This window comes from Homo sapiens, chromosome 3 (assembly GCF_000001405.40).
Source record: "Homo sapiens chromosome 3, GRCh38.p14 Primary Assembly".
In the NCBI taxonomy this organism is placed as follows: domain Eukaryota; kingdom Metazoa; phylum Chordata; class Mammalia; order Primates; family Hominidae; genus Homo; species Homo sapiens.
Window position 1 is genome coordinate 179,880,866 of NC_000003.12, and position 13,155 is coordinate 179,894,020.

A 13,155-nucleotide genomic window follows, 5' to 3' on the forward strand; every position below is an offset into this window, starting at 1 on the left:
TAGCTTCTTCCTTCTTTTACAGTGCACGTAACCAGTGTTTGACTAGCTCATTGTGAGAGATAGAAAATTCAAATTGGAGAAGGTCCCTACAGCTCTACCTTTCCACCAGTCCCTGCTGTTTCACTGGCCCTGGCACTGCACTGGAGAGACTAGCTTCTGAGCAAGATCGGTGGCTCCCTGGCCTGGAATCTCTTCACCCAGCTCACGTAGGAAAGCCACAGAAAGACAAAGAAACCACTTGCATTAACCCTTTGTGGCAGTCTACAACAATGACTGCAGCACTCCTCTTTAATCTCCAAGCTTTTCCTCTAGGTGGGGGATGGATTTTTGCTGATGTCTCAATACTCTTCTGTCTGCTTCTCCCTTGTACTCAAGGCAGGGGCCGGGCTCCATTGAACTCACAACCTGGATTTCTTTAGTAGTGCATGGGCTTCATGAGTTAACCATTCCTATGGGATCTTTAGGATGGTGTGTCAAACTTTACTCTTAATAATCTTGCTTTCTGATTCCAATTCCAAGTCACAGTGGTTGGATGTTGTTGGTGAAGTGGAAACATCTGGCTCTGTCACGGCTTAGTGTGTGACTTGAAGTAAGTTTCTTGATCTCTCTGAGTTTCAGTTTCCTCATTTGAAAATGGGGAATTAATTGTCTTTTAGGGATAAGATGAGGATTAAATGATCTAATGTATGTAAAGTGCCAGGCATACAATAGGTACTCAATAAATGTGATTTCCATTCTTTTACAGCCAATTTGTGATTTTTTCTATCCTTTTTGTTGTTGTTGTTGATGTTCTCCTATTTTCACTGCTCCTTTTTATTTGAGACAAGAATCAGATCCATACACTGACAGAAAGAGAAAATGCTACTGGGAATAAAACTGAAGATGAGACAAAGATATTGGTTCTACAGAGGATCCTATGAAGTAAATTTATCATAAAGTGGCCTGAAAGTGTCAGCTTATCTCAACAGAATCTTCCTGAGGCAATAGGAACCACTTCCCAATGCTAAGATGCCCTGAGATACGAGGGATGTTTTGGGGCTAGGAAGTACTTGAACGTGGAGGGAAAGAAGTGACATTCAGAACTAAGCTGCCTGGCTTTATGTCTAAAATGTAAGCATGGCAGACAGCCAAAATAGGCTAGAATGCCTCACATTTTATATCCACTGAATGGTCAAATAGAAATTTCCAGACCACTATTATGTTGGCAAGGAGTCTAGGCCCAATGTGATGTCCTTATAATGGAGGAAAGGAAATTGATGGCATAATATAGAATGCCATATACATCTTTTTACTAATTGTACAAACAATTAAGAGTTAGTCACTTGCTCCTAGACTTTTAGAAGCAAATTATAAAATTGTCTACTTGAACATAGGAAGTACATTTGTTATGGAATAACAGCTGGCAAGTACTAATTTAATTCTATATCTTCTTCTCACATTCAGAATAAATGAATTACTAAAAGGGTGAACTGTGAATTCAAACTTGGCTCAGTAAGGTTCTTTCCCCCTCCAAAGTGTCCTGGGCAATTCCTGTATTTGTTCTGAGCTCTTTGTCCCTTTGTTCTTTTTCTTGCAAATGTGAAACAAATGCTTGGCACACACAGAAAGCCTAATTGGTTACCCAGCTGATGAAGGAGGTGGCTTGGAGGTCGAATGGCCAGCTTTGAAGCTGGGAAAGTCCCTGCAGAGTACGTTTTCAAAAGGAGAGAAGGGTGGGTGTAGCCTTTCACTCTCTGGAGAAAGACAAATCACATTTTAGCATGTGTGTGTCCTTTAGCTAAGATTTAAAAGTAAGAATCTTATTGCTCCACACAAAGACAGCCCTGGTATGGTAGGTGGTGTCTGCTCTGCTGATTTCTTAAATCCTATTTTAAAGATCCTTCAGGCACATGAAGTTTTGGGTTTCAGTATCTGTGTGCTTAAATTAAGAGCACCAACCGGTGAGGTGTGTTGGCTCATGTTTGTAATCCCAGTGCTTTGGGAGGCCAAGGCAGGAGGATCGCTCGAAGCCAGGAGTTTGAGACCAGCCTAGGCAATATAACAAGATTCAGTCACTACAAAACAATTAAAAAAATTAAAAAAAATTAGCCAGGAGTGATGGCTATCACCTGTAGTCTCAGCTACTCGGGAGACTAGGTGGGAGGACTGCTTTAGCCCAGAAGTTTGAGCCAGCCTGGGTGACAGAGTAAGACCCTGTCTCTAAAAAAAAGGAGCACAAAGGAACAAAGGATAATCTCCTCTTACAATGAACGTGAAAAGTGTGTGCGTGTGTGTATGCACATGTGTGTGTATGCGTGTGATAGTGTAGATCTAATAAAATACCTTCAGGGTGTAATCTTATTGTCACATATGCAGACTTTTCTCATGGACCACATGTCAGTCACCACTCACAGCTTCATAGGCTGTGGGATCCCACTGCCCAGAGGATGTCGCTGACTTCACTTCTATTTGCTGTAGCAGGGGGATTTCCAGCTCAGTTGCTTCTGAGCAGGCTATGTTTTGCCAGTCACCCTTGTAGCACTTTGTCCTGTCTTCTTCACTTTAGTTCAGCTAATCTATTTTGGTGTCCTGATGTTCCGTGAATATTGTGCATAAAATAAGGCAGCACAGGACAGTGGTTAAGACTGTCTGAGTTTGACTGAGTGCAGTGGCTCATGCCTGTAATCCCAGCACTTTGGGAGGCTGAGGCAGGCGGATCACCTGAGGTCGGGAGTTCAAGGCCAGCCTGACCAAAATGGAGAAACCCCGTCTCTACTAAAAATACAAAATTAGCCGGGCGTGGTGGCACATGCCTGTAATCTCAGCTACTCTGGAGGCTGAGGCAGGAGAAATTGCTTGACCCTGGGAGGCGGAGGTTGCGGTGAGCCAAGATCATGCCATTGCACTCCAGCTTGGGCAACAAGAGCAAAACTCCGTCTCAAAAAAAAATGTCTCTCTGAACCTTAACTCTGCCCACTAAAATAAGGATAAAACTATAAAGTATTGGATGAAGTGCTTATCTACAGCTCTTGGAACAGCACTATAAGCATAGTCATGATGCAAATAAATATTTATCGCTACTAGAAGATTCTACTGAAAGCATTCATGCTTGACACAAACTGTAGATATATGAGGTTGGAAATGATTACAAAAACTATTTATTGAAAATATACAATATGGTAAGTGCTTATGAGTGTTTCCTTACTTAGTCTACATAACATTTCTGTGAAAAAGGTATTCTAATTTTACATATGAGAAACTTGAGGCTTGGCAATATTAAGTAACTTGTCCAAAATCACACAGCTGGTGTGGTAGAAAAACGCCCCCCTCTAATATGGCCACATTCTAATCCCCAGAACCTGTAAATATGTTACCTTGACATGTCACATGGCAAAAGGGACTTTGCAGATGTAATTAAGGATTTGGAGACTGAAAGATTAATCTGGATGATCCCTGTGGGCCCAATGTAATCACAAGAGCTCTTATAAAGTGCAGTTAGGGGGGTCAGAGCCAGAGAAGGACATGGAGACCAATGTGAGAGAGAGAGCTGCTGCTTTTGAAGATGGAGCAAGGAGTCATAAGCCACCAAATTGTAGGTGCCCTCTAGAAGCTGGAAAAAGCAAGGAAGTGAATTCTGTCCTGGAGCCTCCAGAAGTAATGTAGTTCTATTGACATCTTGATTTTAGGATAATAAATTTGTGTTGTTTTAAGCCATTAGATTTGTGGTAATTGTTACGGTGACAATAGAAAACTAATATAACTGGTATGTCAGTGTTTACACCAGGATTCAAATACAGGATACAGGTCTCATCTCTCCATAGCCTGTGTTCTTGCACAGTCCTCTCTAGACTTTATCTAAACCTTAAGGCAGGGTGCTGACTTTATTGATAAGGCTTTGATTCATTTGTTTGTTTAGCTTCTAATTATTTGGCAGTTTGGATAGTCCAAGGAATGATTTAAATAGTTGGCAGTCTCAAAAACTTTTGTTCTTCAGATAATCTAATAGAACTGGGTGGAAAAAAATTATAATTTAGAACTTCTATGAGGCAAAAGATACGTTCTTTTAGGGTTCATAGAGAAAAAAAATCACTGACCGACCTCCAGAAGAGGTAAATATTTCCTAAATTTTTTTTATTTTGTATTGATTTATATAAAAACTAGATTTCTTACGAATTAAAAATATATAATATTTTTGCCTTGAGATATACGCTTAATATTAAAAACACTTATCAAATAAGAGTCTTTCTTCAGGATAAAAATCTGTGTGAACCAGGTGCACTGAATAATGGAGGTGGGAAAAAATAAATCCCCAGTCTCAGAACACTATTTTTCCAGACCCCCTACGTTGGAGAGTATTATGGATTGAGTGGTCTATGTAGAAGTCCTAACACTGAGTACTCAGAATATTACCTTATTTGGAAACAGTTTCATTCGAGATATAATTAAACATGAGGTCATATTAGAATAGGGTGGGCCCCTACTTTAATAGGACTGGTGTCCTTATAAAAAGGGGAAATTTGGGCCAGGCGCGGTGGTTCACGCCTGTAATTCCAGCACCTTGGGAGGCCAAAGTGGGCAGATCACAAGGTCAGGAGATTGAGACCATCCTGGCTAACACAGTGAAACCCTGTCTCTACTAAAGATACAAAAAATCAGCCAGTCGTGGTGGCAGGTGCCTATAGTCCCAGCTACTTGGGAGGCTGATGCAAGAAAATCGCTTGAACCCAGGAGGCGGAGGTTGCAGTGAGCCGAGATCGTGCCACTGCACTCCAGCCTGGGTGACAGAGCGAGACTCCGTCTCAGAAAAAAAAAAAAAAGCGGGGGGTGGAAATTTGGACACAGAGACAGACATGCACACTGGGAAGCACACATGCAGAGAAAACACCACATGAATATTGGAGTTATGCTGCCATAAACCAAGGCAGTACCAGAAATTAGAAGAGAGGCCTGGAATAGATCCTCACTAAGCACGTTCATGGGGTGCATGGCCCACCTGAAAGCATGATTTTGGGCTTCTAGCCCTCAGAACTGAGATGGTAAGTTTCCATTGTTGAATCAACTCAGTGGGTGGTACTTTGTCACAGCAGCCCTAGGACTAATACAGAGGGCAACATTGTAGATATTGGGATTGCAAGAAATTACACATTCTTTTGATTTTTTTCCTACAGTATTTCACAGGTCTCTCTTCCATATGTTAGAACAATCAAGCTGAAAAGAAGCTTTTGAATCAAATCTTATATTGCTCTCTCAGGGTGGATCCTTTCTAAGTGACTTAGTTTTCCCATCAGTGAGAATTGGAGCATGAAGAGGAAGTTTGCAGTGCATACAATTCTCACTGATTCACCTGCAATTGGACATACAAGGTTATCTGTATTTTCCTGGGGTAGTTCTCGAGTTTTGAAGGGGCCAGCTCTTGTTTCACGGATCAGAGGAATGAACCTCATCTGATAGTATGTGAACTTGTTTAATTTCCTACCTAGAATTTGCCAAGTACCATTTAATTTCTTGATTACTGAAAGTGAGAGCTGAATTTAGAAAATGATTGCTGTGGTGTGATATAAAAAAGTCAACGCAATTGAAAATGAAAGTGTAGGGAATACATATTGTTCTCACCTAAAATCTAACAGAAATTTTTACACCAGTTAGAGTTTACATGGTGTTAAGCTTTTTCATGGATTGCTTCCTTTAATCTTTCCAATGAACTTACGAGATGTAGATCTTACTATTATCAGACAAATGAAGAAACTGAGGCTTAGTTAAGCAACATGCCCCTGGATACAGAGCTGGGGTTGGAATTCATGGAGTTTGAACCCAGAAACTGTAAAATATGACCTCACATAACAAGCCTGTCTATCTCATGCTAGTTACTCTTCTTGTAATTTTTGGCATTTTGGAAAAATCACGATTTCCTTCTCCTGTGATTTTATTCACTTAGAAATATAATGAAAATATGCAAGCCAACAGCAAACTGAGGCCAAGATGACAAAATGGAACAAATTTAACAAGACAGTATGTGATTATCCTTTTCTTTTTCCATTAAATTCCGCTCTGCACATCCAACATAACCTTTGTTCTTTGATTCTGAACATCATTTTTTCATTCTTATTTGAATGACATGACTTTGAATGTGAATGCTGACCAAATGAAATCAATGCAGAAAGACTGCCTCTACAAGGGAAGTGTAATTTATGCCAGTGGCATCCTGTACTCACTCATTGGATTAATACTTATTGAGTGCCGATTCCTATATGTGACAGGCACCGAGCAGGGGATGGTTTACTATTTGATAATGTTTAATTCCAGGAGAACATTCAAATAGATTGTTGTAACGGGGAGCAAGTAACACATTTACATGACAGAAAATGAAACCGGCTCTATACTATCCCAAAGCTGCAGGATATTTTGTCATTTAAATCCACTTGAAAAGGTTGCCACATTTTTATTTACTGGACTTCCGTTATACAAAATATTTCCAGAAATAATTGGACCATCAGCCAGAACTTGAAAACCTTACTCTGAAAGAGATGTTTTTGTTTTAAAGATTTTCTAATGTGATGAGACTTTAGATATAAATATGCAAATATGAAAATATACATGAAAACATGATTCATTGCTAATAGTGGTATACTTATGTTCTGCAAAATTGGTTGGGTAATATACATTGCAATTTCTGTGATTTATTGGTTTATGCTAAATAGTATACATTCTAAAGTTTCATTTGGTTGCAAACGTTCTTTCCTCACTTAAAATGTATTATGGAAAAAATGTGCATTTTACTATAGTTAAAATTAACTCTAGTTGAGGAACAGTTAAAAGTGAGAGAATTACCAGCTGTATTGGATGTTACTGGCCTTGCTATTGCTTCCGATTTGGTTTCACAGAGAAAGTCATCGATGGAGGGACTCAGGAGGGGTCTGCTTTCTTGTTGCTCATTCACCAGCTGAGAACAAATGAACAGAGGTGTCAAAGGGCTTTGTTAAACTGCAGAGTCAGATGAATTAAAATGCAGCCTTGCAACAAAATGAGAATAGCAAGCCTACCAAAAATAAATAAATACATAAATAAATAATGGGGTGGGGGCAAGAAAGAAAAAATATCAAGAGGTGGGGAATGAGCCTTTTAGCACTGTCAACATATTTTTGATGCAGCCAACTTCAATGTTTAAAGCTCAAGCCTTTCCTCCCCCCTCCTGAAATATGATTATTCTCTAATTTCAATATATAGAAAATGACACGTATTGAATCATAGTTGCTAAGGGCCAATCCCACTCCTCACCTGGACAAAAGCTCCTACTGAGACCTGGACCAGTGGCTTCAGACTCAAAGATGACATGTTCTGGTTAGCACTGCTCAGTCAGTGTTTATGTGGGGAGTGCAAACACACGGATCAGTGTGGGTGGATAAATGCCTGCCTCGTCTCCCTCTCTTAAAAAGCTCAGGTCACCTAAAAACACACCCTCTACATTTCCTTGGAATGCTTTTGTATTACATAACAAATATTATTTTGGGAGAGTAGAAAATATTGTTATATTAACTGTGTAGGTATCTAGTACATGCGTTTATAAAATCTATTTGTAAAATATATCTCGGTAGATTCAATTGTGTTTTCCCATTAGCTCATTTTCTAATTTCAGCAATCTTTCAGTTTGATTTTTTAGTGGATCTCTAATTATCAGTGGCAACCACTATTTACTTTCAATCATTCTGCACCTCTTTGAATCCCGTCTTGCCGAGTTATGTTTCTACGGTTAAGGGAGAAAACACACTTTTGATACTCAGGTGGTTGATCCCTAAATTAACTGTTTTTTTTGGGGGGGGTGGGGGAGCTTTTATATTTGCCTTTCATAAAACAGGCATAATCATCTAGTTTTTTGCTTAAGAAAAAGACACACCTCATAATCTTTAGGTTTTTTTGTTTTGTTTTGTTTTTTGTTTTTTAAATAGGCACAGGATGTCTGTCACCCAGGCTGGAGTGCAGTGGCATGATCATAACTCACCGCATCCTCGAACTCCTGGGCTCAAGCTATCCTCGCATCTCAGTATCCCAAATAGCTGTGACTACAGGTGTGCACCACTATGGCCGGCTAATTTTTAAAAATTTTAAATTTATTTTTATAGAGACAAGGTCCCACCATCTTGCCTAGGCTGGTCTTGAACTCCTGGGCTCAAGCAATTCTCCCACCTCGACCTCCTAAAGTGTTGAGATTACAGGTGTGAGCCACTGTGCCTGGCCAATCTCTAGATTTTTTAAGAACTTATTTGTTAAGTTGCATTTTAAGAGGCATAAAATAGCAAATGGAGTGCTTTGGAGTATTACCAAATCAAAATATTTTATATTACTCTACTCACCTTCGCTACATTGTTTCTCTGGCACAGTGTCAGCAGTCTCATAGTTTAGAGCTGATGGAAGGTGGCAGGGGACCTGAGTAATGGTAACTATGGGGAGAAAGTGCACTTCTTTTATTTCTGAAAGGGCAATATGGAAGCACTTAGTGGTCTTTTGGAGACTGGAAGCCAAGAGACACATTTAGTACTCATATGCATGCTATTTAAAGATGGATAAATCTCATTTAAACATGTGTAAATCTCAGATGTCCATTAGAGTTTAAGATTTCAATATAGAGTTGGTAATTAGATTTTTATACATATTAATTTGTTATTGAGGGATGGGCTTTGAGAACGCTTTTCTTCTTTTAACGTTCAAGTTACAGGGATAGATCTTTCTTCAATTATTGTAAGCTTTGGTATTACTATGTATAAAACCTCGCAGATTTTGCTAGGAATCAAATCCAAGGCCTCTTTTGGTATTAATCTTTTATTTTAGGATGCTGCTTTGACTCATGAGTGAAACTCTGAGCCCCAGTGCTTTTTATTTTTTCTGAATTTGAACATTCCTGGGTATCACCCATTCTATATATATTAAAATATTTTTAAATGTTGAGGGACTATGAGCTGCCTATGTTTCAGGAATAAAATATATTTGAATTTTTGTAAATGCTATGGTCTATTTGAGTTTAGGAATGATTTGTAATACTTTCTGGCATAAAAGTCAATTTTATTATCTGGAAATGTAGTTGAAAGCACTGGTATAGAATACAATATACTAGAAAATGATGAAATAGCTAAACATCAGTGATCCGGTGAGCTCATCTAAAAATATGATTAGTGTCCCAGAATCTGTATCTCATTTGTAGTTAGTGCATGTCCAAACTGTACATATGTAACAGTTTCCAAAGGACCTGTACATTGATACATATTTCCTGGTAGGACTTGCTCTTTTAACCATATGTGCTTAATGTAATGAACTCATCTAGTGTGATCAACGCAGTGATGAGGTCCTACTTTCACAAACAATGCCCACCTCCACACTGTGGCCTTCTCATGGCTGTGAAGTGCGATCTGAATTCCACTGTGTTATACGCATTCACAGAGGATGAAGGTTACCATCAAATATGGCACCACCCTATACGCATAGAAATTATTGTAACAGGGTTGCATTTACTAAGCAGTGCATTCTGATGACTGGCCTCTGGGTCTAGGTCTTATTTACCCATTGGCTAAATTGTATAAAGCGCAAAGACTAAACTCAACCAATACAACTGTGACTTTCAAAGTATGAATATGTATGGACAATGTCATAACTATCTCTTTGATAGTCATTATTTCTTTGAAAAAAAGTTTAATTTCATTGACAGATGGCTAAGAATAACTGAGTTCTCTTATTCATAATTTTGAGAAATATCAACGTTATGTAGGTAAGTATGAGCTATATTCCGTGGAAAATCCCCTGTACTCTTTCTTTACTTTGGATACAGTTAAATGCCTTAGTAAAAAAACAAACAAACAAAAAAAACTAAGAGTTTATCCCTAAATCACAGTTCTGTGTACATATATGTGTGGAATAGTGATATAGGCCTACATTACCTATAGTTTTGGAAGACCAGGGTGTTAGATTTCTTCAGATAGTTTTAGCTGCAAATGCATAAAAACTATAGTCTAAATTTGATCAAGTAATTCTAAAAGTAAAATGTTTGTTAACATCTAAATGGAAAGCAAAGGAAAAGGCACAATTCAATGAGAGCCCTGTCCTTTTGGGCCTGTCTGCTTTACCAAAGGTAAAAAAATTTTTTTTTTTTTTTTTGGAGTCCGTCTCTTTATTCAAACTTTGGACAAATTTTCTGGAGAAAGCACACTAGCACTCTCAGATTTACTCAGCATACAAATAAAGGGATACCAAAGGAGAGGCTATTCTGAGAGACTTCAGGAAGCCCAGGACAAAGGCGTGGCATCTCCAGTCTTCTACACCTCTGCCTCAGGAAGTCTGTGTCTTTCCACACCTACTGTCTTGTTTCTGACCATAGTTCACACCTGGACTGATGGAACTGTTATAACTGCCTGACTTCTACAACTAAGCTACTCCTGTGGCTTTCTTCCACAAATTCAAATCAAAGAAGGAGTAACAAACTACCTTCTGAGTCAGTGTTTTTCAAGCTGCAGCACAATTTAGCTATTGAGAAATGCTTGGGCTGAAGTGGGGGATAATAGCAGGGCTCAAGCGTGAAAGACCAGATTACAGATAGCATGGAAAGGTAACTGAAACTGAACAGAAAGTTTTTTGGTTTTGATGGGAGATACGGAAGATGAAACAGGAGATATTATGAAGATACGGAAATCTTTCCTTATAAGCTCTGAAGCCAGAGAATATCTTACTTATATTTATATCCTTCACAACTTCAAATAGAATGTCTATGTCTAAAAGGGGTTCAATAAATGGCTATTAAATGAGGAAGTGACTTTGCAGAAACTGAAGATGTAAAAATACCTATCTAAAATGGTCCAATTTTAAATTGCATCTTCAGTTGCAGGAATTTAGGAATGATTATTTTAGTCATAGGAAGTCCCATTTTATTTATATTTGCATAGATTAAGAATAGCTTTTTCCATCCCTTCCTCTTCATTTTGAACAAGTTTATGATATTTCCTTTGGTGACTTGAGAACAAATACATGTTTTAGATCATAAAAGAAAATTTCAAACTGAATTGAGTCTCCCAATTATTCCCTTTAAGCTTAATTTCCAAATTGTATAACATTTATTCTTTCCTTATGCATTAGTAGGATAAGGTTTCTTGACTTTCTTTTAGTTTGAAAATAACTTTATGAACTTCTCTTATTTTGTCTTTTGGGTATGGAGTATATTGATGTTATACAAATAATAAAAAGTAACCCAAAGGTTTCTAATTTTTTAAAATAACTGAGGTGAACTGATTGCAATTTTGGTCTAGTCAGATTATCATAGCTGAGTTAAAATGACCCACTTCATTAGTTGCTAAGGCCTTTGTCTCAGTTTGTCCACATTTTAAATTTTCATTTCTTATTCTCCCCTTTCCTCTTCTCAATATTTGGATCAGTTCAAAGAACCTTCTATAATGGTGACAGATTCTTATTTCTCTTTCAGGATCCCATTCAACTGGCACATTGTCTAGGAACCTTCTTTAGTGCCAACCATTGAGTGCCTCTTTATAGCACCTACATGTTCCCATGTCTTGCCCAGTGTCATACTCTTAGTTTTATCTGTCCCTCTCCAACTGCCAACTAGACTGTGACTTCCTTTAGAGTAGAGATCTCATCCAAGAATTTTTTTTGTATTCAACAGTAGCAGTTTAATCAATGTTGACTGATTTTATACAGTCTAACTGAATGGTAAACTGTAGAAAAGAATTATTGCATGGGTGTCCTCAATTTCCTACTGGATTTGATCAATTCACAGAGAGGTCAGTGGTCCTCAGAAATGTTTGCCAATTTCTTTGCCGGTTTTAAACCACACACTTGAGCCCATTTCCTCCCAGTCACATCTTTTAAATGTTTGGAGACCTACTGATACCTAAGAAAATGTTTCCAAATACAAAGCTTCTACCAAGAATGTTAAGGCTTCTACCAAGAAGTCAAAGTGCCAAGAGAGAATGCCTAATGAAAAAAAATTAAAATAAAGGTCTAAGCCTACCCCATACCATTCGACACTTGAAGAAGGACTTGGACCAATGTGAATGAGAAGCCAGCAACACTTCATCACAATCCTATTCCCTCCATGCTGATTTTAAATCACAGATTCAAATCTTGAGATTTTGAGGGAAAACCCTTAAGTGGTCAACTGACACAGAAACAAAGGAAAACTCTTTTGTTTAGAAGTAAGAAGATAGGTGAGAACTTGCATGTAGGGGCTTGTTGTCAATCAGAATGCAAAAGACTATTGAACCATTACACCTTCTTTGTAATCAAATATTCAATCAAATGATTTCACTTGAATTATGACTTACTCAGACTGGCCAGCTGATGTAATTAATATTAGCTACCATATCACCAAACTGCTTCATATATCAATACAGTGTTTTCTTTGTGTGGAACAAAGGCAGATTATATCACCCAGCTCTTAAAACTTTATCTGAAACTACATTTGCTTTAGCTCCACTTGAATTTCTCAATTTCAATGTTTTAAAATTAAACTATTAAATAATCTAAGCTATAAGAAACTAATAAGATGAAAAGATGTTTTGCTTTTAAATATTTTTTGTTACTTAAACTACAGTGTATGTTTATATTGTTTGTTTTGTGACTTAAATCTTGTTTCGTGACTTGAATCTTTGTGTTTGTCTTTAAAGAGATATATTACTTAGATGTTTCATTCAAAAATATAGAGCTCAAAGTTTCTGATAACATATTACTAAGAATTAACCCTAAAGCACAATACATTGTAGATGATAAAACAATGTCTGTAAAGGACAATAATCCATTATTCTGTAGTTTCACATTTCAGATTGATGATCTTGAATTGTTTTAAAGTAAAATATTCTGTTTTTATATTTAAGCATTTGGTACTTCAATAATAATTTTTAAAGTTAAAACATTGAAGCTAATAAGTTTAAAACAGCTGACAAATATCTCATATTTGTAATGTTGATTTAGAAAATTTATAATACTATGGCATGTCTTTTTACCTCATTTAAATAATAGAAAAATTTTAGAATTGTTTTGTTTATATATGAATGAAACACAAATATCTTTGTGAGTTTTGAAATTCCTCTATTATTTGTGATATGGTTTTTTTTGAGATGGGGTCTTGCTATGTTGCCCAGGCTGGTCTCAAACCCCTGGCCTCAAGTGATACTCCCATATTAGCCT

At 37.6% G+C, this 13,155-nt stretch overlaps 1 protein-coding gene across 38 annotated transcripts in view, besides 1 other annotated feature; it reads right to left on the reverse strand.

Annotated features, from left to right (window-relative positions):
- PEX5L (peroxisomal biogenesis factor 5 like) overlaps positions 1 to 13,155 on the reverse strand; it is a 241,980-nt gene that overhangs the window by 85,908 nt on the left and 142,917 nt on the right. For 32 of the 38 annotated variants that reach the window (NR_146167.2, XM_047448299.1, NM_001256753.2 and 29 more), the window contains one exon: positions 6,808 to 6,919. The exons of the other annotated variants lie outside the window; for them this stretch is intronic. Coding sequence is in view for 28 of the 32 variants with exons in the window: in XM_047448299.1 (XP_047304255.1) it covers positions 6,808 to 6,919 (112 nt within the window). In the remaining 4 variants the exon portion in view is untranslated. The remainder of the gene's footprint in view (positions 1 to 6,807; positions 6,920 to 13,155) is intronic. 38 annotated transcript variants of the gene reach the window in all.
- Positions 2,344 to 2,403: an enhancer, noted in NCBI's record as "active region_20872". NCBI's record gives its function as "activates an Ori minimal core promoter by ATAC-STARR-seq in GM12878 lymphoblastoid cells {active_cell/tissue: GM12878}" and the evidence as "EXISTENCE:reporter gene assay evidence [ECO:0000049][PMID:35858748]".